Source organism: Homo sapiens, chromosome 6, assembly GCF_000001405.40.
Source record: "Homo sapiens chromosome 6, GRCh38.p14 Primary Assembly".
Taxonomy (NCBI): Eukaryota; Metazoa; Chordata; class Mammalia; order Primates; family Hominidae; genus Homo; species Homo sapiens.
The window spans coordinates 89,761,254-89,788,567 of NC_000006.12; the positions used below are offsets into that span (position 1 = coordinate 89,761,254).

At 41.3% G+C, this 27,314-nt stretch overlaps 1 protein-coding gene across 1 annotated transcript in view; it reads right to left on the bottom strand.

Moving 5' to 3' along the window:
- MDN1 (midasin AAA ATPase 1) overlaps positions 1 to 27,314 on the bottom strand; it is a 177,297-nt gene that overhangs the window by 118,756 nt on the left and 31,227 nt on the right. The window contains exons 8-17 of the mRNA NM_014611.3: positions 26,601 to 26,704; positions 23,759 to 23,873; positions 20,146 to 20,339; positions 18,959 to 19,040; positions 15,347 to 15,442; positions 13,368 to 13,480; positions 11,320 to 11,468; positions 10,308 to 10,368; positions 1,066 to 1,277; positions 392 to 495 (exon numbers count right to left, since the gene is read on the bottom strand). Coding sequence (NP_055426.1) covers positions 392 to 495; positions 1,066 to 1,277; positions 10,308 to 10,368; positions 11,320 to 11,468; positions 13,368 to 13,480; positions 15,347 to 15,442; positions 18,959 to 19,040; positions 20,146 to 20,339; positions 23,759 to 23,873; positions 26,601 to 26,704 — 1,230 coding nt within the window. The remainder of the gene's footprint in view (positions 1 to 391; positions 496 to 1,065; positions 1,278 to 10,307; positions 10,369 to 11,319; positions 11,469 to 13,367; positions 13,481 to 15,346; positions 15,443 to 18,958; positions 19,041 to 20,145; positions 20,340 to 23,758; positions 23,874 to 26,600; positions 26,705 to 27,314) is intronic.

The following is a 27,314-nucleotide window of genomic DNA, read 5'->3' on the forward strand; positions in this document are numbered from 1 at the left end:
GACCATGCCATAAATAATAATGTCTTGTACATTTCAAAATTACTAAGGCAGTACATTTCAAATGTTCTCACTACAAAAAACGGTATTTGAGATGATGAATATTCACTAGCTTTAGTTATTCCATACCGTATTCATAAATCATAACACCCTTTTGTACCCCATGAATATATACAATTATAATTTATCAATTTGTACTTTTAAAATTTTTATTTAAATAATGATGGTGCTCATTAAGATCTTATAATTGCCATAATTACCATGAAGGACACTTTTCAAAATCTTCCCCCAAAATCATTATTTCATTAAGACAATACAAAATAGTAACCTGCCTGAAACATTGTTTTGCATAAAATCAACGTTCCCATAAGCTAAATAACAAAAACAGAAATACCTCTACAAATGCGAACAATAAGGTATTTTCAGTCATTTTCATCTGTTGTTGGGCATGGTTGAGTCTAAGACCAAATGCTTCCCATTTCTCTTTTATGAGTAACCCTAAAAAAGAAAGACAAGAATTCAGCACACATTTTGAATTGTAATATATACAACTTCTAAACAAACAAATACAATTAACAAAACACACAAAAATTAAGCATCTTACACAAAACACTAAGTCTAAAAACTTGTATAATGCTAACAAAATGCCAGACATGACACTAATTAGCCCACATGTATGAATATATATGTATTAACTGCCTCATTTATCCCTCACAACAACCCTCTGGACTAGTTATTTTTATTCCTGCTTTACAGATAAGGAACCACACAGAAGTAAACTAAGCCAGCAAAAGCCTCTTGGCTATAGAATCTAGCTCCTTAGAAATAAGCTTTTTCTGAGGAAATGTGCCTTACTGACCACTAAATAGTACTTGCACATCAGCATTACCAGTCAACTGTTTTTGTGGAAATACGTGAATAATGGGGCACAATACTTCACAATTAGTCACTTCTGCCAAAGTCCTAGAAAGCTCCAATTTGTATCGCTTTACTCTTCCCCAAAACTAATATGTTAACTAAAGCCCAGCCCCATGCCCTCCCCCATGGCAGCCTGGGTCACATCCTTACCAGTTTCACTGTCTTTTCCATCCTTGTTAACAGCAGACTTGTGTACATGCTGCATTAGTCTCAGGAGATCATGCCACCGTTTCTGTCTGTAACAGGTCTGAATGTGCCCCAAGAACGTAAAGTTTTGTTTCTTGGAAAATGTCTGAGCAAAGAGTTCCTCAAATGCCTCCCGTAAGGGTAGCCAAATAAGCTTATGGTCCACCGGTTTATAACTGAAACAGACACAGGTAAATGTGATTCACAAACTTCTGAAGTTAACAGAAGTTAGAAAGCATGGCTCAGAAAACAGGAGTAGGTCTCAGATTTCATTTAATTAACGTCAGAAATACTACTGAAATATTTAAAATCTACGTTACAGTTTTAAATTGTAATATTTTCCCCCATCGCAAGCATTTGAAGGGCCCATAATGAAGGTAAAAACTATTATTAGATAAACAGTGTTATGAAAAAAACTAGCCTAGCATGGCTGCTCACATCTATAACCCCAGCACTTTGGGACACTGAGGTGGCCAGATCACTTGAGCCCAGGAGTTCAAGCCCACCCTGGGCAACATGGCAAAACCCTGTTTCTACAAAAAAATACAAAAATTAGTCAGGTGCAGTAGCACACACCTGCAGTCCCAGCTACTTGGGAGGCTGAGGTGGGAGGCTTGAGCCCAGGAAGTAGAGGTTGCAGTAAGCCAAGAACACGCCACTGCCACTCTAGCGTGGGCAACAGAGCCAGACCCTGTCTCAAAAAAATAAAAGTAAAAAAAAATTGAAAGTCCTACTTGAATAGTAAAATTCACATCATTTATTTTACCAACATGTCTAAATAAATATGTATAGGGCATAATAAAAAACCATCCATATTTCATTAAGGTTGACCAAAATCCAAGGAAAAATAAATATCTGAAATTGATTTACTTATGTAAATTAAACACAGCCCACACATTATCAGTTAGGAAAACGAAGAGTAGGAGAGAGCAACAATGATATTGCTTTCAATGGGATAAAAATTAGGGTAGGGCACGCAAAAAAAAAAAAAAAAAAAAAAAAATCTTAGCTATTGCAATGGTTTGTGGTACTCCAAAGCTCAACTTGTACTTCTTAGTATTTAGATTCTTTGTTATTCCTTAGCATTAAATTCCTCTGGCTAAGGAGCTAGGAAATTAACTTAAATTTGAATATTTGGGGGAGGTAAGAGATAATTTTTTAAAAGGTTGAAAAACATTGCTCTAGCTTAAACATACGATGTCTAAGAGGCACTAGTTATTCCTAGAAAATCTTAAGTACCCAATTTTGTATGGCATACCATTACAATTCAGGAAGAATGAGATAAATCTTATTTTCATGAAAAATAATTTAAGTTGAGAACTTAAAAGGTACCAAAATATGTTTCACAACAAACGTAAGGGAACTGATGGATTACTGCTGACTCACTGGCCTAGTGAGGGAGAAACAATGAGATGAGTAAAAACCCAATGGCCTGATACTGAGCATCTGAATCTGAGAGTCCAGTTCCAAAGAAAAAAAGTTGAAGAGGAACATCAAACTCACTTTCACTTACTCATAGCACTAATACATTAGTATAGGCATTTCTTTAGTCCATTTATTAAACAAAAAATGTACTGAGGCCAGGCACAGTGGCTCATGCCTGTAATCCCACCACTTCGGGAGGTCAAGGCGGGAGGATCCCCTGAAGCCAGGAGGTTGAGACCAGATTGGGTAACAAAGCCAAGATCTTGTCTCCATAAAAAATTAAAAAATTAGCTAGGTGTGGTGATGCACATTTGTAGTCTCAGCTACTTGGGAGGCTAAGAAAGAAGGATCACTTGAGCACAGGAGTTCTAGGCTACAGTGAGCTATGATAACACCACTGTACTACAGTCTGGGCAACAGAGCAAGAACTCATCCCTTTATAAAAATTTTTTTGAGCACCTGCTATACGTGTTAGCCACTGAATCAACAAGACCCACAAGATCTTACTCCTGTGTAGCTTACAATCAAATGAAAGTGACAATAGGCCAGGTGCGGTGGCTCACACCTGTTAATCCCAGCACTTTGGGAGGCTAAACAGGTGGATTGCTTGAGCTCCAGAGTTCGACACCACCGTGGGCAACATGGTGAAACCCTGTCTCTACAAAAAATATAAAAATTAGCCAGGCATGCCAGTGTGCCCCTGTAGTCCCAGTTACTTGGGAAGCTGAGGTGGGAGGCTTGTTCAAGCTCAGGAGGTCAAGTAGTAGCTTAAGTGCTATGAACATAATGTAAGGTAAAAGCTGAATGGGTGATGTGAGTTTTGGTAATTTGAGTATCACAGTCAGGAAAGGCTTTGTTGAGGAGGGGACATTTGAAGGATACCTAAGTCAAGCAAGGATGTGAGCTAAGCATTATCTGTGGGTGCAAGGAGGCCACACAGAAGAAATAGCAAGCATTTAGGTGCAAAGCAGAAGAAAGTGGTTGGAGCTCAGCAACACAGGGGAAGGTGAGAGATGATATCAGAGAAGTACCACTGTCAGATTATGAAGGGCTATACAAACCAAACATTTTATTCTAAACCTTTGTATTTTATCCTAAATGGACTGAGAAGTTCAGTGGAGGAACCTGAGGAAGAGAGTGAGACCAGACTGGGTTACAAAGCAAGACCTTGTCTCCATAAAAAATTATACTTTACTGGGCTGGGCGCGGTGGCTCACGCGGTGGCCCAGCACTTTGGGAGGCAGAGGTGGGCGGATCACGAGGTCAGGAGATCGAGATGATCCTGGCTAACATGGTGAAACCCCATCTCTACTAAAAATACAAAAAAAATTAGCCAGGCATAGTGGCGGGCGCCTATAGTCCCAGCTACTCGGGAGGCTGAGGCAGGAGAATGGCGTGAACCCGGGAACAGAGGTTGCAGTGAGCCAAGATCGTGCCACTGCACTCCAGCCTGGGAGACAGAGTGAGACTATGCCATACACACACACACACAAAAAATTATACTTTATCTGATTGTACTTTAAAGGATCATTGTAACTCCTAAACAAAAAAGACTATAAAAAGATTAGGAGTAGAAGCAAAGATAAGAGACCAACGCAGTGGACTAGACAGTAGATAAACTAGAACGACAACAGTGAAAATGGTGAGAAATTGAACAAAATATATGTGTCATTTAAATAAGATTGCTAATCTTTTTATTTATTTAACTTTTTATTCTAAAGATAAAGTCTCACTATGTTGCCCAAGCTGGTCTCGAAGTCCTGGCCTCAAGCAATACTCCCACCTTTGCCTCCCAAAGTGCTGAGATTACATGCATGAGCCACTGCTCCTGGCCAAAATTGCTAGTCCTGAAAATAACAGTATAAATGGGATCCAAAGTTAACTGAAGAAGCAGAGTAATGGTTAAGAACACAGACACTCAAGACTGCTTAGGTTCAAATCCTGGATCTGCCATTTTCTTGAATAAGTGACTTATCTCTCTTTGCCTCAGTTCTCTCATGTTTAAAATATAGAGGATAACAGTCTGTTGTCTCACATGGTTTTAAGAAGACCAGCTAAGTTAACACAGAAAAAGGACTCAAAACAGTGCCTGGCACATAATGACTGCCACAGAGAGTTAATAGATAATTAATACAATTATTAATGTCTCTGTTATTATTGATCTATTGAATTTATGAAAAAGGCAGCTTAATATTTCAAAGTAGACTGAGTTCCTTAAAGAAAACCTCATTCAGGCCAGGCGCTGTGGCTCATGCATGTAATCCCAGCACTTTGGGACGCTGAGGCAGGCGAATGCCTTGAGGTCAGGAGTTTGAGACCAACCTAGCTAGCCAAAATGGCAAAACCCCATCTCTACTAAAAATATAAAAATTAGCCGGGCCTGGTGGCGGGCCCCTGTAATCCCAGGTACTCAGGAGGCTGAGGGAGAAGAATCGCTTGGGCCCGGGAGGCAGAGGTTGCAGTGAGCTGAGATCACGCTGCTGCACTCCAGCCTGGGCGACAGAGTTAGACTCCATCTCAAAAAAAAAAAAGGAAAGCTCATTCATTTAAAGCTGAGCACAGTATTACCTAAAGCCCTTAAGTCAATACATATTTCAATACATGAAAAGATGAAAAAACATACATTTCAAAAAAGAATAAACAAAACAAAATCAACTGCAACTGCAACACAAATATTCAACGGGAACCAACCTGACACCTCAGAGAACTGAGGATATAAACTACAAACAACCAAACAACTAAAGAGCAAGATTTTCAAACCGTCTTCTGCAGAAAGGCACCTTGGGAGCCACTTAAATGCCAAGAAGGTCCATAACACCTGCCTTCATGGAAAATAACTTTGCTTATATCTGTTACATACACTGGAACCACATGTAAGCATTCATGTGAGAATGGCTACACAAAATTATAACATGTGAAACAACAAAAAGTGTAAAAAGAATATAAAATGTACATGCTGAGTAATTAGAATGATAAGCCATTTCTCTTCATGTCATGGACAGGGTTCTGAGTTCAAATTGCATGCTCCTGCCATATGCTCTTCTGGGCAGTTTCTTTTAAAGACTGTTCTATGGGTGGGTGGCAAGGAAGATGAGGATTGGCTGCTTTATTACTATTTCTACAATATCTTTAATTTTCCTCTATTTTTTTTCTTCTTTCATTGCCAAGCTCTCCAGGGTAACCGGTCCTTCTCAATATATCACTGTTTCTCCCTCAGAGGCTGCCCCTCTGAAGCCCATTCCCTATAGTAAGTGCTATGAACATGCACTCTGTATTTTGCCCTTTAGTGCTAGACTTTCTCTTTCTGGAGTGATTTTATCTGCCACATCTAAGTCTTCCATGCCCTCTACTCTTTTTCAAGGATTATCTTTGGCTGTCCCCACCCGCAACTCTTCAAATTTATGTCTCTACCTACAGGTAATGTGAGGGTCTACATGCTGCTTACCAGAAGCCCATGTTAAATAAAATGACAAAAACGAGTTTAAAATTAAATGAAGGAAAAAGACATATCATGCCAACACTAATCAAAAAGCAAGAAGCACAAAAGAATAAAACCAAGGAGGTAATGGATAATGGACACTAACAAAGAGCAAAAGACAATTTGCTATAATGTAAATAATTTGATGGTTTCTAAGGCCCTTATTTTTATAAAGTATCTTTACCCATAATAATAATTGCTTCAAAAATCAATCTAGGGCAGGGCACAGTGGCTCACACCTGTTAATTCCAGGACTTTGGGAGGCTGAGGCAGGTGGATCACCTGAGGTCAGGAGTTCGAGACCAGCCTGACCAGCATGGTGAAACCCTATCTCAATTAAAAATACAAAATTATCCGACATGGTGGTACATGCCTGTAATCCCAGCTACTCGGGAGGCTGAGGCAGGAGAATCGCTTGAACCAAGGAGGCAGGCGTTGTAGTGAGCCAAGATCATGCCATTGCACTCCAGCCTGGACAACAAGAGCAAAACTCTCTCAAAAACCTAGGCTGGGGATGGTGGCTCACACCTGTAATCCCAGCCCTTTGGGAGGTCAAGGTGGGAGGATCATTTTAGCTCAGGGGACCAGCCTGGGCAATATAGTGAGACCTCATCTCTATAAAGTTCAAAAAAAATTAGCTGGGTATGGTGGCACATGCCTGTAGTCCCAACTACTCAGGAGGGCCTAGGTGGGAGGATAGCTTGAGCCGGGGAGGTCAAGGCTGCAATAAGCCCTGATGGTGCCACTGCACTCCAGCCTGTGTGACAGAGACCCTGTCTCAAAAAAAAAACAAAAATAATTTTTAAAAGTTTTTAAAATTAATCTAAAAAGGCCAAGTACAGTGGCTCATGCCTGTAATCCCAGCACTTTGGGAGGTTGACTGGGGAGGACTACTTGATCTCAGGAGCTCAAGATTCATCCTGGGTGATATGGTTTGGCTGTGTCCCCAACCAAATCTCATCTTGAATTGTAGCTCCAATTCCCACGTGTTGTGCAAGGGACAGGTGGGAGGTAATTGAATCATGGGGGTGGGTCTTTCCCATGCTATTCTCATGATAGTGAATAAGTCTCATGAGATTAGATGGTTTTATAAAGGGGAGTTCCCTACACAAGCTCTCGACTGCCACCATCCATGTAAGACACGACTTTGCTCCTCCTTGTCTTGTGCTATGATTGTGAGGTCTCCCCAGCCATGCGGAACTGTGAGTCAATTAAACCTCTTTTCTTTGTAAATTATCCAGTCTCAGGTATGTCTTTATCAGCAGTGTGAGAACAAATGAATACACTGGGCAACAGAGTGTGACCTCATCTCTACAAAAATAGAAAATAATTAGCTAAGCGTGGTGGTGCACGTCTGTAGTCCCAGTTACTCGGGAGGCTGAGGCAAGAGGATCACATGAGCCTAGGAGGTACAGGCTGCAGCAAACTATGAGGGCACCATGGTACTCCAGGCTGGGCAACAGAGTGAGACCCTGTCCCCCCCCAAAAAAAGAGTTAAAATTAAATAAATAAATAAAATCCAAGACCAGCTACAGTGCCTATAATCCCAGCACTTTGGGAGGCCCAGGCGGGAAGATTCCTTGAGTTCAGAAGTTCCAGACCAGTCTGGGCAACATAGTGAGACCTCATCTCTACTAAAAATAAATCAGCTGCATGTAGTGGCTTGTGCTTGCAGTCCCACAGCTGCTCAGGAGGCTGAGATGGAAGGATCACTTGAGCCCAGAAAGTCAAGGCTGCAATAAGTCATGTTTATGCCGCTGCACTCCAGTCTGGATGACAAAGTGAGACCCTATCTTAAAGAAAAAAAAAAAGATCCGAATTTGCAAACCAGGTTATTATTTAACATACTGGACACATGCAAAATATATTTAACATAACTTATAAAACAGATGAAACCAGCAACACGGCCTGAGGATAGGAATATTTATCTTTTCCCTATCCCATCTCCTTACCCACAGCTGAATTTTGTTCTCCATTCCCTTGCCTTTTTAAAAACTTTTTGGTATTCTCATCTTCTACAATGATTCTTAAACAAGGGAGTCACCTATTCACTTATAACAGAATATATGTTAAAAGATTTTATTTAAATCTCTTTGTAGTAATATAAGAGTACAGAAAACAAGGCACATTTCCAACCCCACAAAAACTGAGAAAAGGCTCGGTGGCTCATGTCTGTAATCTCAACACTTCAGGAGGCTGAAGCAGGACTACTTGAGGCCAGGAGTTCAAAACCAGCGTAGGCAACAGAGCTAGATCCTGTCCAGGGTCTTGCTTTGTCATCCCAGCTAAAGTACAGTGGCATAACCACAGCTCACGGCAGCCTCAACCTCTCAGGCTCAAGTGATCTTTTCAAATGGAAATGTAAGTAGCGTTTTCTTTTAATAAGTGATGCTGACCTACTAACAAGGAAAAACAGATATATTCTATTCACCAAGTTGGCACCAAAACCAAATTCTAGTTAATCATACTTTGAGTCCAACCTTTTCGTGTCATCAATTTGCATCACAAATGTACTCCTGTTTACTCACTATATTTAAAACAACTTGCAATGGCTAACATAACACTACAAATTCACAGTAGAAGAGAAGGACCCAGTCCATGTTCAGTTAGTACAAGATCAATGCCATTTATGTTAGGACTACTTAATGGTATGAAATTACTAAAGACATATAGATACAGAATAGAGAGAAATAGACCAGGCCTGGTGGCTTATGCCTGTAGTCCCAGCTACTGGGTAGGCCGAGGCAGGAGGATTGCTTAAACCCAGGAGTTCAAGGCTGTGCTAAGCCATGATCACACCACTGCACTCCAGCCTTGGTGACAGAACGAGATCCTGCCTCCCAAAAAAACAAAAAAAGAATTAAGAGGCCGGGTGCAGTGGCTCACACCTGTAATCCCAGCAATTTGGGAGGCCGAGGTAGGTGGATCACAAGGTCAAGAGATGGAGACCATCCTGGCAAACATGGTAAAACCCTGTTTCTACTAAAAATACAAAAATTAGCTGGGCATGGTGGTGTGTGCCTGTAGTCGCAGCTACTCAGGAGACTGAGGCAGAAGAATCACCTGAACGTGGGAGCCGGAGGTTGCAGTGAGCAGAGATCGCGCCACCGCACTCCAGCCGTGACAGAGCAAGACTCTGTCTCAAAAAAAAAAAAAAAAGAATAAAGGTAAATATATACAGCAGTATAGACATGTCTGCTTAAATGAAAAATCATATATATTAATAAGAACAGATTGCCAAGTTCCTCAAACAACCAACTAAACATAAGTAAAATAAAACCAAGGTAGAAAGCCTGGAGTGCAGTGGCACAATCTCGGCTAACTCCAGCCTCTGCCTCCCAGATTCAAGCAATTCTCCCACCTCAGCCTCCCTAGTAGCTGGGACTACAGCACACCACCATGCCCAACTAATTTTCGTATTTATTGGTAGAGATGGGATTTCATCATGTTGGCCAGGCTGGTCTCGAACTCCTGACCTCAAGTGATTCACCCATCTAGGCCTCCCAAAGTGCTGGGATTACAGGTGTGAGCCGCCACGCCTGGCCCAGAACTTACACTTTAGATCAACTGTACTGTATACACAAACATTAATTGATTATATACTTGCCTGCTTTTTCTCCTTCTTCCATCATATGACCTTTGAGAACAAGGGCCTCAAGTGTTCATTAAAATGAAGAGAAACATCTACACACCCATGAGCTCCTCAATAAATTCAAATAAATACCTTGCTGTGGTTGGGGGGTAAGGTGCAATCTTGCTCAAGGTGCCTTAGAGAGACTAAGATGAGCAATGTCCCACCATAAATCTTATTCAAAGCACCATACACACTGATGGTGGGACCCTGAGGAAACTAAAATAAGCAACTCACACCTTAAATCTTACTCAAGGGAGTTTACCCTTTTTCCTGCACAAACACAAGACCAGAAGAATGACTGATCCTTTGCCTTAGCTTCATTGCTATACTAAAAATCATACCCATGCTGAGACATGGGACACATGAAGAAGCACGTTATCAAACTGTTCAAGTGCCAGAAGTTCCCTGCCTCTACATGCTTAAATATCACTTCCTTCCCACTTTAGCCCCTTAAAATTACTTTCCTGTCTTACTGGGGCCAGCCACAGAATTCTCTCTTTTGTGTCCCTGGTACCCTGCCAAAAGCTCCAATAAAGCCTTATCTGAGAAAACTCTTTTTCTATTGCATCGAGCATCCTAGAACCTGTGGTTGTTAACACTAAGAAAACAGTATTTCTTACCTCAAGCAATAAACACAAAAATAAGAAAAAAATTTTAAGCCACACTTACCCTCCAAGCAAGTCTGCAGTATCACTTTGTTGATTCATATTGACAACCCTCAAACGGTGGCCTTTTATAAAGAAAGTGCAAAAGTGTTACTCCAAAAATTTAAAGACCGATAATATCCAGTGTGCTCCTTAAGGCTGTGGGAATATGGCATAGGGCTTTATTTTTTGAGACAGAGTCTTGTTCTGTCAACCAGGGTGGAGTGCAGTGGCCCAATCATGGCTCACTGCAGCCTCAACTTCCTGGGCTCAAGTGATCCTTGTCTCAGCCTCTCGAGCACCTGGGACTACAGGCATATACAACCAGACTTGGCTAATTTTTGTAATTTTTTGTAGAGACAGGGTCTCATGATGTTGCCAGGCTGGTCTTGAACTCCCGGGCTCAAGCAATCCTCCTACCTCAGGCTCCCAAAGTGCTAGGATTACAGGCATGAGCCACTGCGCCCAGCAATAAGGTAAATTTTCAAATGTGCCTTTGCTCTGAATCATGAGAGCCCAGAAGTTGGAGACCAACCTAGGCAACATAGCTAGACCTCGTCTTTACAAAAAACTTTAAAAATTAGCCAGGCGTGGTGGCACACACCTGTAGTCTCAGCTATCTTCCTACCTCAGATCTGAGGTAGGAAGATCACTTGAGCCTGGGAGGTCAAGGCTGCAGTGAGCTGTGAGCTGTGGGCTCGCCACTGCACTCCAGCCTCAGCAACAGTGCGACCCTGTCTCAAAAAGAATAAAAATAAAAAGAAGAAATGAGGTATAATGCAATATGTAGAACATAATCCCATATCTGTTTTGAAATAAAACAAAATCTATACGTATATGTATTTGCATAAGCATAGATTGGAAATGAAATAATTTAATAATAATCTATTAACAGTAGTTATTTCCAGGCAGAGATTACATGTGGGGTGCTGGCACTCTTTAAACTCTGTGGTCTTTGGATTTAGTATTTTTAAAAAAGGAAAAAAAGTAGTCAGTGTGAAATATCTGGGGGCAGATTTATTTCCTCTAGGGATTACCTGTAATGTGAGCCAAGTATTGGATGGTAGAGGTTTTGCCAGTCCCGGTCTCTCCCACCAGCAACACAGGCTCCCCTTTGCTGACACACACTGCAAGCTGCTCGATGAGAACAGAGGACGGCCGTGTAGCAGCGAAAGTGAACTTCTCCCTGGGAAGGAGAAAAAAAGAGTTTAAAAACCACGCTGCAAGCTTCTCCTAGTTTTGCTCTGGGAAACCATATATTCCAGATTCAACAACAAGGATGAGAAAACAGCTCACAGTAACTGTCTTCAAGCTATACCAGATAATCTTACAACATACAAAAATTACAGAATTTAGTTGCTCTGCAAACACTGAATACTCACACATCTGATACGATGCTAGGCTCTGGAGATTAAAAAGATCAATAAGACAAGACTACCTGTACTAGTTAGCTCATCTTGGACAAATTACTTAATGTGTCTTAGCCTCAGTTTCCTCACCTGTAAGATGTGGGTAACAACAGTACCTAGTTGTAATAGGTTAATAATCTTTCCCCAAACTCATGTCTACCCAGATCCTATGAATGTGACCTTATTTCAAAATAGGGTCTTTGAAGAAATTTAATCAAATTAAGATAAGGTCATATTGCATTAGGGTGGGTCTTAAATCCAATGACTGGTGTCCTTATAAGAGGAAGATTTGGTGACATAGAAATACACACACAAGGCAGAGCATGGTGGCACAAGCCTGTAACCCCAGCATTTTGGGAGGCCGAAGCTGGCAGATCACAAGGTCAGGAGCTCAAGACCAGCCTGGCCAATATGGTGAAACCCCATCTCTACTAAAAATACAAAAATTACCCAGGCGTGGTGGTGGATGCCTGCAGTTCCAGCTACTCGGGAGGCTGAGGCAGGAGAATCACTTGAACCCTGGAGGTGGAGGTTGCAGTGAGCTGAGATCGCACCACTGCACTCCAGCCTGGGGGACAGAGCAAGACTCCATCTCAAAAAAAAAAAAAAAAGAAGAGAAGAAAAGAAATACACACACAAGGAAGAAGGGCCACATGACAACAGAGACAGAACTTAGAGTGATACAACTACAAGCCAAGGAACACCAAGGACTGCTGGGAGCCAAAGAAACCAGGAAGAGGCCAGGCACCGTGGCTCAGGCCTGTAATCCCAGCACTTTGGGAGGTCAAGGCAGGTGGATCACCTGAGGTCAGGAGTTCAAGACCAACCTGGCCAAGATGGTGAAACCCCGTCTCTACTAAAAATACAAAAATTAGCTGGGCGTGGTGGCGCATGCCTGTAATCCCAGCTATTCGGGAGGCTGAGGCAGGAGAATCGCTTGAACCAGGCAGCTGGAGGTTTCTGTGGACCAAGATCGCACCACTGTACTCCAGCCTAGGCAACGGAGTGAGACTCTGTCTTAAAAAGAAAAAAAAAAAAAGAAAAGAAAAGAAAGAAAGAAATCAGGAAGAGGCAAGAAAGCATTCTCCCCTAGAGCCTTCAGAGGGAGGAGCATGGCCCTGTCGAAACCTTGATTTTACACTTCCAGCCTCCAGGACTGTGAAAGAATAATGTCATTGTTTAAAACCACCAAGTTTATGGTAATTTGTTATGGCAGCCCTAGGATACTAATATATTAATTCACAGGATTATTACAACCACTACATGAGAAAATATGTAAAGCACTTAGTACAAAGTCAGACATGTAATAAGTATTTAATGTTACCTCGATCTCAGAATCTTATATAACCCCAGCCTTCTAGGAATTTACAGACTAATGTTAGACATAAGCCTGACTTCCAACTGAGGCATACTTCACTAAATACACTGCAGTGAATAAAATCAATAATTCATCTTTGGTAGTGCCAAATCTTTAATGACTTTCATCACCTCTTTCACCTATTGATATCTAATTTCACAGAACATACTTTGGGAAAACACTGCTCCTTCCCATATAGCATACTACAGATATCACAGTTCAGACATGTGTTTTGCACAAAGACAAGAGGCTGAGCTAGACCTTCTGTCAAGTTTCTGGAAACCCCACAGTTGGCAGCTTAGTTTAGAGCCCTACTTACCTCTGTAGGTGAACAGCCTCACTTTGTTTCCGTAGAAGCCGCACTCGACCCACTTGCAAATCTAGCTCATTGATCACAATTTCTGGTTTATAAAGTTGACAAAAGAATTCAGCCTGTAGGAGGTAAGATTTTACCTGAGTAAAAATCCACATGCTTTTGGAATATTTCCTCATCCAGAGGCTTATTTTGGCCCTCAAATTAGCACTCTACAAAGAATTATTCTCTACTTCCCAGATAGTTGAGTTGGCTTTTCATAAAGAAATTTCTTTTTTCATTTTCCAAACTTCTATGTTTTTCACAACATTTATCATGTTTCCCTAAAATGGTACTTTTCAAATAAGCCCTACCTATATATGGAGTGAACACACTGATATATCCAATAGAGAAAGTGAACAGTAAGTCCTCACCTAAAAGGTAAGAAAAAAAAATCAGAGAAATCTTCTCTAGCTATGCTCTCCTCTGCTTTAAATTTCTAACATAATGTTAGGAAATCATGGTACATCTGACTACAGCCAAAGCAAAAAGAGCTGTGGCAGATGCTCCTGGATGTCTACCCAACAGCCATTCCTCTCTTCTCCAAAGAACACAGATTTTGTTCAGGTTTGGGGCAGAAGTGAAAGAAGCAAACTGCTCTGGGAAAAGTGAGTCCTTCCACAACAAGAGAGGATGAATATTGGTGGAATGAATATTCATGGTGGTTTCATTCTTCTTTCTCATGATTAACATATGTATCATTTAAGTCCCTTTCAGTAGGACGTTCTATGACCTCCAGCCAAAACCATCCCAACTATTTCAGAAGCCTTATAAAAATCTCTACTACTGTAATTCCTGCCATAAGATCTTTTAGAGTCATTATTCACATGAGAATGTCAGATATCTGCTTCAAGATGAGCCCAGACATTTTTCTAGACACCAGTGCCACTGCTGAAAGGATCCCTCCTCCCAAAATACGTATTTTGACATAAAACAAGAATGGCAAAATATTAACAATGTCAGCAATGAAACAAAGTAGTGAGTATACAGGTATTCACTGCTACTACTCTTTGCAACTTTTTTTTTTGTTTGTTTGGTTGGTTTTTATCAGAGAAAGAGTCTGGATCTGTCGCCCACGTTGGAGTGCAGTGGCACAACCTTGGCTCACTGCAACCTCTGCCTCCTAGGTTCAAGTGATTCTCCTGCTTCAGCCTCCCGAGTAGCTGGGATTACAGGCATGTGCCACCACACCCAGCTAATTTATTGTATTTTTTTAGTAAAGACAGGGTTTCACAGTGTTGGCCAGGCTGGTCTTAAACTCCCGACCTCAGGTGATCCACCCACCTCTGCCTCCCAAAGTCCTGGGATTACAGGTGTGAGCCACCACACTCAGTCTCTTGCCAATTTTTCTAATAAGGGAAAATAATAAAAAAGATGGAAAAACTCTGCATTAAGTTATAGACAAAGGTATTACTAAAACATAGTTACATTCCTGAGTCTAATGCCTACAAAATAAAATAAATGCTCACTAAAACACTGAAGACGACACAGGACATGAGGAAGCTCCTTTTAAGAATGTGGAACATGGCTGTGCACAGTGGCTCATGCTTGTTATCCCAGCACTTTGGGAGGCAGAGGCTGGTGGGTCACCTGAGGTCAGGAGTTTGAGACCAGCCTGACCAACATGGAGAAACCCCATCTCTACTAAAAATACGAAATTAGCTGGGTGTGGTGGCACATGCCTGTAATCCCAGCTACTCAGGAGGCTGACGCAGGAGAATCACTTGAACCTAGGAGGCAGAGGTTGTGGTGAGCCGAGATGGCGCCATTGCACTCGCGCCATTTGGGAGTTGTATGCCCACGAGAGGCTGCAATAAAAGCACCAACTTTTACAAAAGAGGTACCACTGCAAAAGCTGTTCCAACTAAGGACTAGAGACCAGCAAGCAAGCAAGCAAAAAATCCTAGCCTCCTTTCAACAGGGAAGTAAAAAAACAGCACACATACCTTTTTTCTAGAAATGTTCAATTTGCTTCCAATAACTTCTGCCATTTTCAGTTTGCTTGTATGCTCAGAAAGCATTGCTGTGAAACAGTCTAGAGCCTATTAAAATAACCAAGGTAAATGCTGACTGATTTTTAAAATAATATATTAATCACAGAACATCATTTTCCTGGCCACAAGAGGGAGAAACACAAAATCCAGCAGGAACATTTCTCTAAAAATGAAGGGAGTGCAAATAAGGTACCAACCCAGGACTGAGGACCTGACCATAATGGAAAGACAGGACACCAATAAATATAAATAATTGACTATTGAAATACTTGCCAAATAAAAAAAACAAACAACAAAACACCCCACTTTGCAAATCCTAGCTTCGGGCAAAGAAGAGCAATTAGTGTTGACCACTGGGTACATGGTTCAAGGAGAACTGACTCATATAGTGCTGAGGTAATATCAAAAGACTGCTTTCTAACTGCAAGGGAAACACTAGGTGTGCAATACCTCATGGTCATTATCTTAACCTAGTACTCAATCTTAGCAACTACCAGTGAGCCAACCAGTTATGTCTTCTGATGTGATGAAATATAAAATACCACCAAAAATGGACTGTACCCCAAATATGTTAAACTTGAATTCATCAAGCATTTTTTGTATTTTCTATTTACAGAAAATATGAGAGATAAAACAATGTAAAGGACACCATGAGTGTGGGATTGAAACCACCTTTGCAAAGATTATGACAGAGCAATCTAACATGGCTGACTCCATCTTACTTCTAAGCCTCATAGGCTGGCCATCTTCACTCATTCCTAGGCATAGGCCAAGCTAACCATAGTAGGAATTTAGTTTATAGTTTAACTTGGAAGCAAGGATGATAATAGTCCCTTCCTAAAACTAACCCCCTCTTTGCTCAGGGACCGAAACCTAATGAAAGACCACAAGATTAGGATTATGGGAGGGGCCTGAATTCTGCTAAAATGTAGGTGTAGTTTCTATAATCCCTTAGTGCTCAGGAGTCATGTGGCCAGAGGTCACAAGACTTGTGACTTCCCCAGCTGCTCCTATAGATAACACCACTATCGTAGAAACTAAAATTGGCCTTTTGAGGTGATTTTCAGATTTTTGCATTCCAGCAACTAACTAACCCCACCTGACTCAGTTACCCCACCCAGAAGTAGACTCAGTATACAAGACCATTTTCCACATCCCTATGAGTTCATCCCCAACCAATCAGCAGGCACCCATTCCCTAGTACCCTGCCCACCAAATTATCCATAAAAACCCTAGCTTCTGAGTTAACAGGGAGATTGATTTGAGTAACAATTCCATTTCCCATATGGCTAGCCTAGTATTCATTAAGCTCTCTTGAAGACTGCTTTGAGTAATAATAAAACTGGTCTCCCATACAGCAGGCTCTGTGTGAATTACTTTATTGCAAATTCCGTCATGATAAATTGTCTCTGTCTAGGCAGTGGGCAAGGTGAACCTGTTGGGCCGTTACAATCTGATCTATTTTTTCATCCTTTTTAAAAGTATTTTATATTTTTGTCCTGACAGTTGAAATACTCAGAATACAACACTTAATATACAGTATTGTCTCAACTAATAAAAAAAAAAAAAAGAGAAAACAGGCCCCCAATACTGCAAATTGCTTTCGTCTCAGTGGTAGAGTTAGTAGTTAAGTTTCTTCCATCATCTTTTCTATTGTTTTTTAACAAGAAGAATCTAGTCCTTTTAAAATTAAAATATATTTTAAAGCCATAATTCTAAGTAAAGTCAGTTTACAAGATGCAAAAAGACCCAAATAATGGCACCCCTAAAATTCAGTAATAAGCAGGAAAACTTATACCCAGAAATCTAAAGTTACAAACATTAATATTAAAAATACAGGATTTACTATTATAATACAGTTATCCCTACATATTCCTGGGGGATTGATTCCAGGACCTCTCACGGAAACCAAAATCTGAAGATGCTCAAGTCCCTTATATAAAATGGCATAGGGTGACTGGGCGCAGTGGCTCACACCTGTAATACCAGCACTTTGGGAGGCTGAGGTGGGTGGATCACGAGGTCAGGAGATCGAGATCATCCTGGCTAACAGGGTGAAACCCCATCTCTACTAAAAATGCAAAAAAAATTAGCTGGGTGTGGTGGTGGGCGCCTGTAGTCCCAGTTACTCGGGAGGCTGAGGCAGGAGAATGGTGGGAACCTGGGAGGTGGAGCTTGCAGTGAGCCGAGATCACGCCACTGCACTCCAGCCTGGGTAATAGAGCGAGACTATGTCTCAAAAATAAATAAATAAATAAATAAATAAATAAATAAATAAATAAATAAAAAAAAAGGTATAGGGCCTGTGTCAGTATGTACTAAAATAAGCCAAAGAAAAAAAAAATTTTACAGGTGTAGAATCTGCATATAATCTATGCACACCTTCTTTATTTAAATCTCCAGGTTATTTATAATACCTAATACAAATTATAATACCTAATACCTGATATTTCATAAAGGTATTTGGTCTGCATGGAATAAGGGGGGAAAAGAGCTGGACAAAAACAATTTGCCAGTTCTCAAAAGAATATACCCTACTCATTTGAAATGGCTGGTCTCAAATTCAGTAGAAATATATTTTAGAGTAGAAGAGAACAATTCCTCTGGTTACCATAGTATAGTTTAAAAGAGTTACTTCTAAAAGAACATCCAACTCCTTTTGTTCTTATTCCACCTTTACCGCTATGATTTGGTCTTCTGTAATAATATCCACTAGAATGGTTAAGTCCTGTGCACATACATGCTCCCATCATAGATAATAACAATGGACCCCAGATGAATTAGTCAGAAGAGTCCACCACCCTCATCAGAAACCCATCCTGGATTTATGGTGTCTTACAAAGAGGTTCAGTCAACCAACATCAACCAGCCCTACTGAGAAAAGTAGAGGGATCGGATAGTTACAAATTTATCAAACAGACTAAGAAATTATATGTAGGAACAAACATTGCTTTATTATTACCCGGGAGTTTCTTTCATTTTACCTTTAATTTCACTACCTGTTTTACTCTATATCAAACTATACTTCTTCTGAAATTAATAATAATTTGTTTCAAAAACCACAAAACATGTATTACATTCAATTAGCTTTAATGCCACGTTAGTTGAGTTTTAACTAGCTAAGAATAACAAACCAGGCCGGGTGCGGTGGCTCACGCCTGTAATCCCAGCACTCTGGGAGGCCGACGTGGGTGGATCACTTGAGGTCAGGAGATCGAGACCAGCCTGGCCAACATGGTGAAACCTCGTTTCTACTAAAAATACAAAAATTAGCCAGGGGTGGTGGCAGGTGCCTGTAACCCCAGCTACTCGGGAGGCTGAGGCAAGAGAATCGCTTGAACCCAGAAGGTGGAGGCTGCAGTGACCTGAGATCACGCCACTGCACTCCAGCCTTGGGGACAAGAGCGAGAGACTTCGTCTCAAAAAAAAAAAACAAAAAAAGAATAACAAACCATACTTGGAAAAAAGAAAAAAGTCTGATGGCAATCAAAAGACAGAAAATAACAACGGAAGTCAACAGCCTTACAGAACCAAGACAAAAAAGACTGGAAAACTATATCTTACCTCTTGAAAAATATTTAATGATGCTGATAAAGATGAACTGTCAAAGCTATGGGCAATCCTATTACACCAATTCAGCAGATCCCTTTAAAAAAAAGAAAGAAAAGAAAAAACAAAGAAAAGACCACAGGCCAAAGACATCAAAGGCATCAGAATTTATTGACCCACTTAAGTCTGGGCATACCTGATAACTTTCTTCTTTCTTCTGACAATGCTTAGATAAAAGGTATTTGGGAAACCAGTAAGGGTTCTCAATCCTTCCCCTCTTTGTATTTGTGTGTAAAATTTAAAAACAAAACAAAAAGAGTTCCCAATCTTCACCCATTCCAGGAAGTGACCTACCAACTCATTACTCTCTGCCATCCATGCCAGACAAGGTAGCAGGAAAGGAGGGGAGCAACCAATCAGATCAGAATGAGGAGATGCCATTTCCTTTTTTTTTTTTTTTTTTTTTGGAGACAGAGTCTCACTCTGTTGCCCAGGCTGGAGTGCAGTGCGTGATCTCGGCTCACTGCAACCTCCACCCGGGTTCAGGCAATTCTCTGCCTCAGCCTCCCGAGTAGCTGGGATTACAGGCACCTGCCACCGTGCCTGGCTAATTTTTGTATTTTTTTTTTTTTTTAGTAGAGATGGGGTTTCACCATGTTGGCCAGGATGGTCTCGAACTCCTGATCTCATGATCCGCCCACCTCGGCCTCCCAAAGTGCTGGGATTACAGGCGTGAGCCACCGCGCCTAGCCTGAGGAGATGCCCATTTCTAATTCTCACTTCTCAAAGGGGAAGTCAACCACTGAGAACACAGAGTGGCACAGAAGTCATAGATAGCGAAATCCAAGAAGACTTATTTAAGACTCCAAGTGTCAGAAAAGGGCATTCAGTGAAAGAATTATGTTAGGAGCCACTCCCAAGTTGGTCTTTAAAAGTTATTTTTTAAAGTTAAAAACATTACCCTAATCGAGCCTTCCCAGTCATTAATTATAAATCTGAAAAAGGGATCTGACACCATGAAGCAACCTATAATTTCAAAACCTGACTATTTACTTCTAGCTGGTAAGAACTTTGAACCTAGGAGGCGGAGGTTGGAGTGAGCCAAAACTGCACCACTGCACTCCAGCCTGGGTAACAGAGCAGGAATCTGTCTCACAAAAAAAAAAGAAAGAAAGAAAAGAAAAAACTGTTTAGTCCAGTACCTTAGAGATAATTCTCTTCCCTCAAGGGTTGGTCTTTTGTTTTCTCTTCTGGCTTCTGAAACTTCTTCAGGTGCCTGTTCACATCCAACAGAACTATCACTCCAAGAGTGATGTTTCTCTCCAGTAAGTTGGATATAAATGTCAAGCAGGTGATCAACCACTGCCAATAGGCTAGGATATCTGCTCTGAAGAACCTGACAGAGGGGGAAAAAAAAGAAAATTTAACAGCCAGCATGGTAATTTTTGAAAGCACACAAACTACTGCTGAAACTGGTCAGCCAAAAATTGTATTTCTCTATGAAATTTGTTCACTGGGGGACGGTAGCTCACACCTGTAATCCCAACACTCTGAGAAACCAAGGCAGAGGAATTGCTTGAATTCAGGATTTGAGATCAACTTGGGCAACATGGTGAAACATCATCTCTACAAAAAATACAAACATGGGCACGGTGCCGTGTGCCTGTAGTCCCAGGTACTCAGCAGGCTGAGCAGGGAGGATCATCTGAGACTGGGAGGTTAAGGCTGCAGTGAGCAGTGATCATGCCTAGGTGACAGAACAAGACCCTGTCTCAAAAAACGTAAATAAATAAAACATAAAAATAAAAATGAAAAGAAATTTTGTCAACTTTACCAAAAATAAGAACTTCCCCCTTACTCACTCCTGTTCCCACCCACCTATTTCACTCAATCATGATGATTTTCTTCCTACCCAGAACTCAGTTACCAGCAATCTCACCATCTACAATACAGTTTCAGCGGTAGAAGTCATGTTAAAAGGTTCTCCAAGTAACCAAAATATAAGCAACCAACTCTAAAGAATTTATTCATTAAAGAATTCTTAAATTACTATTTAATTTCAAACACAGCTCTGGTAAGGCCATTATGTAATTTCTCAATGAAAAGCATGTAAAAGGAGCAGGGTACAGTGGATCACACCTGCAATCCCAGCACTTTGGGAAGCTGATGTGGGCAGATTGCCTGAGTCCAAGAGTTTGAGACAAGCCTGGGCAACACGGTGAAAACCTGTCTCTACAAAACATTTGCTGGGCAGGGTGGCACACACCTGTAGTCAGTCCCAGGTACCTGGCAGGCTGAGCTGGGAAGATCACCTAAGCCTGAGAGGTTGAGGCTGCAGTGAGCTGAGCACCACTGCAGTGCACCACTGCACTCTAGCCTGGGTGACAGAGTAAGACCTTTCCTCAAAAAATAATAATAATAATAATAATAATAATAATAATAATAAGATATAAAATCAGTTAAGCTGGGCGTGGTGGCTCACGCCTGTGATCCCAGCACTTTGGCAGGCTGAGGTGAGTGGATCACAAGGTCAAGAGATCGAGACCAACCTGGCCAACATGGTGAAACCCTGTCTCTACTAAAAATTAAAAAATTAGCTGGGCATGGTGGCATGTTGCGGGAAGTCAGGGACCCCAAATGGAGGGACCAGCTGGAGCCACGGCAGAGGAAAATAAATTGCGAAGATTTCATGGACATGTATCAGTTCCCAAATAATACTTTTATAATTTCTTATGCCTGTCTTTAATCTCTTAATCCTGTTATCTTCATAAGCTGAGGATGTACGTCACCTCAGGACCACTGTGACAACTGTGTTAACTGTACAAATTGATCATAAAACATGTGTGTTTGAACAATATGAAATCAGTGCACCTTGAAAAAGAACAGAATAACAGCGATTTTTAGGGAACAAGGACAGACAACCATAAGGTCTGACTGCCTGCAGGGTCAGGCAAAAAGAGCCATATTTTTCTTCTTGCAGAGAGAGCCTATCAACAGATGTGCAAGTAGGGAAGATATTGCCAAATTCTTTTCCTAGCAAGGAATATTAATATTAATACCCCGGGAAAGGAATGCATTCCCGGGGGGGAGGTCTATAAATGGCCGCTCTGGGAATGCCTGTCTTATGCGGTTAAGATAAGGACCGAGATACACCCTGGTCTCCTGCAGTACCCTCAGGCTTACTAGGGTGGGGAAAAAACTCCGCCCTGGTAAATTTGTGGTCAGACCGGTCTGTTGTTTAAGATGTTTATCAAGACAATACGTGCACCGCTGAACATAGAGCCTTATCAGTAGTTCTGCTTTTGCCCTTTGCCTTGTGATCTTTGTTGGACCCTTATCAGTAGTTCTGCTTTATGCCTTTTGCCTTGTGATCTTTGATAAACCCTTATTAGTAGTTCTGCTTTTTGCCCTTTGAAGCATGTGATCTTTGTACCCACTCCCTGTTCTTACACCCCCTCCCCTTTTGAAACCCTTAAAAAACTTGCTGGTTTGAAGCTCAGGTGGGCATCACGGTCCTACCAATATGTGATGCCACCCCAGACAGCCCAGCTGTAAAATTCCTCTCTTTGTACTCTTTCTCTTTATTTCTCAGCCAGCCAACACTTATGGAAAATAGAAAGAACCTATGTTGTAATATTGGGGGTGGGTTACCCCAATAGTGGCATGCACCAGCTACTCGGGAGGCTGAGGCAGGAGAATCGCTTGAATATGGGAGGCGGAGGTTGCAGCGAGCCAAGATCGTGCCACAGAGTACTGTTCTGGGCGACATAAAAAGACTCCATCTCAAAAAAAAAAAAAAGAAAAGAAAATGTAGGAAAAAATATTTGAAGTTTGTGGCCAGGCACAGTGGCTCACACCTATAATGCCAACACTTTAGGAGGCCAAGGCAGGCAGGTCACCTGAGGTCAGGTGTTTTGAGACCAGCCTGGTCAACATGGTGAAACCCCATCTCTACTAAAAATACAAAAAAAATAGCCAAAAGTGGTGGTGGGCACCTGTAATCCCAGGTACTTGGGAGGCTAAGGCATGAGAATTGCTTGAACCAGGAGGCAGAGATTGCAGTGAGCCAAGATCACGCCATTGCACTCCAGCCTGGGCAACAAGAGCGAAACTGTTTAAAAAAAAATAAAATAAAATAAAAATAAAAGATTGAAGTTTGTTTGGTGTCACATATTTACCTATATACCTACATCAATAAAGGGAAAAGCATCTCTTCCATGTCTGAATGACCACTGACAATGCTTTGTCTGCCACTCTCCTAGATAAAGCACTGGGGAAGGGAAATCTTCCAAGTGAGACATAAAAGGGAAGTGGGGCATGAACGGAGTCAAGTGTAATATACTTCTTACTGATCTAGGATAACCACAATACTAGAAACTGAATCAATGTAGAAAACCTATAAAGTGATTTACCTCAATTCTCATTAATGCCTAGATCAAAATGTCCATTAAGTGTGAAAGACATTACTTCAAATCAACTTAGTAAAATGATCCTCTGTAGACAACTGGGAAAATTTGAATATAATCTAAGAATTCAATGATACTGAGGAATTACTGTTCATTTTATTGTGTATAATAATGTTATTGTGGTTATATATGAAAATGCCATTAAATTTTAAGAGATGTATGCTGGGAGTTTGCTTTCAAATATATTAGCCCAGAAAAAATAACAGATGAAGCAAATACAGTAAAATACTAGCACACAGACTGCAAAATTTAGGTTGATGAGGGTTCTGGTGGTTTATTATACTATTTCCTATTTCACGCGGGAGCCACTGCACCTGGCCAGCATTGATACTTTCCAAGACCCACGTACCTCATTCAGTTCTCTCTTATCCAGGTTATCCAGGTGAATTTTGGTCCAATATTTGTCTAGCAAAGTAGCATGACTGTTTAGCGGTCGATACCAATTTCCTCCACAGCTCAAGAGTCTACGTTTCAAAATAAAAAACACAGTCACACAAAATTCCAAATTTTAATCCTGAATTGTGCCTCTGGATATTACTTGCTGTACACTGTCTCACATAGGAAAAATATTCATAATCCCTTCTGTTTCCAGATACTACACTGTTGGGCTTACAGGGCAGATGACAAATGAAAGGCTGACAGTTAACCCATGTTTGGCTCTTCTCCTAAGTAGTAGTGATAGTGCTTTAACCAAATATTTTCAAATCACTGCAAATAATTCTACAAGGTAAATGTTTTTATTTCAATGACAGGTTCCTCTTCCTTAAGGCATAAATAACTTCAGGAAAGAGAAAGCATAATCCAAGGCTCATAGCATTAACATTAAGTTCACTGCTTGTTACCAGAAGCTACAGTACTTGAAAACCATTAAAAATTTCCAGAAGAGAAAAAAGTAGAGAAGGAATATACATTAAACATACACTCTGGGGAAGGTACATGCTTATGCATAGGCCACTTAGTCCTCACAACTGTCCCGAGAGGAAGATGCCATTCTTTTCTTCTGACATAAATGGAAGAGAAGGAAAGAATGGCCCTTATACACTCAACTGTGACTGAAAATGGCAGAACTGAAAATTGAATTCAAGTTTATCAGATCACAAGTTTGTCTAACATCTTTCCACGATGTCCCAGGTCTTTCTGGGAAGTGTTTGAATCTACCAGGGAAGAACTTCACTATCTCTATAAATAAAATCAAGGTCAGCCAGGCTCAGTGGCTCATGTCGGTCGTTGGGAGGCCAAAGCAGGAAGATCGCTTGAGCCCAGGAGTTCAAGACCAGCCTGGGCAACAAATTGAGGCCTCATCTCTAAAAAAACATAAAATAAGACAGGTGTGGTGGCTCACACCTCCCAGCACTTTGGGAGGCTGAGGCAGGTGGATTGCTTGAGGCCAGAAGTTCAAGACCAGCCTGGGCAACATGGCAAAACCCCATCTCTATTAGAAACACAAAAATTAGACAGGCGTGGTGCGTGCCTGTAGTCCCAGATACCTGGGAGACTGAGGCACGAGAATCGCTTGAACCCGGGAGGCAGAGGTTGCAGTGAGCCAAATCATGCCACTGCACTCCAGCTTGGATGACAGAGTGAGACTCGGTCTCAAAAAAAATTAATTAAATAAAATAAAAAATCAAGGTCTATCAAAACTAACAGTGCCAGGTACAGTGGCTCATGCCTGTCATTCCAACACTTAGGAGGCCACAGTGGGAGGACTGCTCGAGTCCAGGAGTTCAAGACCAACCTGGGCAATGCAGCAAGATTCCATCTCTAAAATAATAATAATAATAAAAAAAATTTGTTTTTAGCCAGGCATGGTGGTGTACCCCTGTAGTCCTAGCTACTCAAGAGGCTGAGGCAGGAGGATCACTTGAGCCCAGGAGTTTGTGGTTACAGTAAGCTACGATCAAGCCACTGCATTCCAGCCTGGGTACAAAGCAAAACACTGTCTCTAAAAAATAAATAAATGTTTAAAACAAAAGTAACAGGATTGGGCCGGGCACGGTGGCTCACGCCTGTAATCCCAGCACATCAGGAGGCCAAGGCGGAGGATCATGAGGTCAGGAGATCAAGACCAGCCTGGCCAACATGGTGAAACCCCGTCTCTACTAAAAATACAAAAATTAGCCCGTGTGGTGGCAGGTGCCTGTAATCCCAGCTACCTGGCAGGCTGAGGTAGGAGAATCGCTTGAACCCAGGAGGTGGAGGTTGCAGTGAGCCAAGATCACACCACTGCACTCCAGCCTGGGTGACAGAATGAGACTCCATCTCAAAAAAAAAAAAAAAAAAAAAAAGTAACAGGGTCAGCTGGGCACAGTGGCATGTGCCTGTAGTCTCAGCTACTTGGGAGGCTGTGCTGGGAAGACTGCTTGAGTACAGAAGTTCAAGACCAGCTTGGGCAACACAGTGAGACCCCATTTCAAGAAAAAAAAAAAAAGAGTAATTGGGTCTAGGGAGGTATTCCTTGAATACTATCGGGTTAGCTCCACACTCCATGCAGAAGTCAATGTTAACTGAGGTAAACACTAATATAATCATTAACTATAGAATGATGTTAGTTTCACTCATGGGCATTTAAAGACATTGAAGAAGCTGTGCAGGTATAGACTAGCAGTAAGAAATAAACCACTGCCTTCAGGTAATTTTAAAATGTAGGCAGGAATATATACTAAGCACGCTCAGTTTTTGTGCCTTTGTTCATGCTTATATCCAATTAATTTTTCAATTGCCTGAAATCTACCTATCATTATCACCATCATGGCTAGCCATTAACTGGGCATTTATTGTGACAGGTCTTTAGTACAAGTCATTTCACTTATTCTTTACAGCCACCATTTGAAGAAGGTATTATTAACCCCATCATAACCAGCCAAGGTATACATAGGTACTAAGTAGCAGTGTCAGGACTCAAACCCTGGGCTATCTAACAATAACCTCACCTCTGATTATTTTTTAAAACATGAAATAAGGTGAAGTGTTTTAAACTGGTTACTTATTTTTAAGTCGGGGGGGGGACCTCTTATTTTATAAATTATCTTCATTAAAAATAATCAGGAATGAGAAGGTTAGACCTGTTATCACTTCCAACTAACCTTGCTTGAAGTAGACCCAGAGAACTCTATTACAGGACCTCTGGCTCAGCATGCAGACTTACGAGTAAGTGGCTCCAGAGTGAAAACAGAAAGGTTACTAGTACATACCTCCTGGTTGCAAAAAACTGAAATCCAGGTGCCACTTTCAGACAGTCACCTCGGCCAGGAATCAAGAGCTCTCCATTCTCCAAGAGAGGGATCAGCACAGAAACCTAAATCAGATAACAACAACCGCACTGATAAAGTAAAGCTATTAAGACAGAAATAATCAAAACAAAACAACCCTCTCTCAAAATGACAGACACACCCTTAAAGGAAACGTCAGCTCTCATAGTCCAAACTGGGGTCAGTATGCAGGTGGGAACGTCTGAATCACCTACACTCCAGCACAATTTACACACTCGACATTCACGAGTGCCTCCTGTGGATCACAACCAAGCAAGACACAAGAATACAGACAGGACCAAGGCTTTAGAGCCTAGAGGCTGATGGGAGAGGGCAGGCATGCAAATTCCCACACAGCATAATCAGTGTACCCCAGGAGTATACAAAGTCATATATAAAGATACAGGGGGTTCTGAATCAGGATAGAATGATTTAGAAGCAGGGCAGTGAAGTCTTCCCAGAGGTAGTGACATTTGCTAAACCTTAAAGAAGAATGAGCAGAAATTAACCAGGTTTGGTGAAACAGAAATGGTACATACACTTCAGGCAGAAGTATGCAAGTGTATTTTTAAAAAACTGATAAACCTAAAAGCCATGGCACAAGAATTCTGTTATGTGTAGGGTAGAATGTGCAGTAAGAAGCAGCAGAAAGATGTA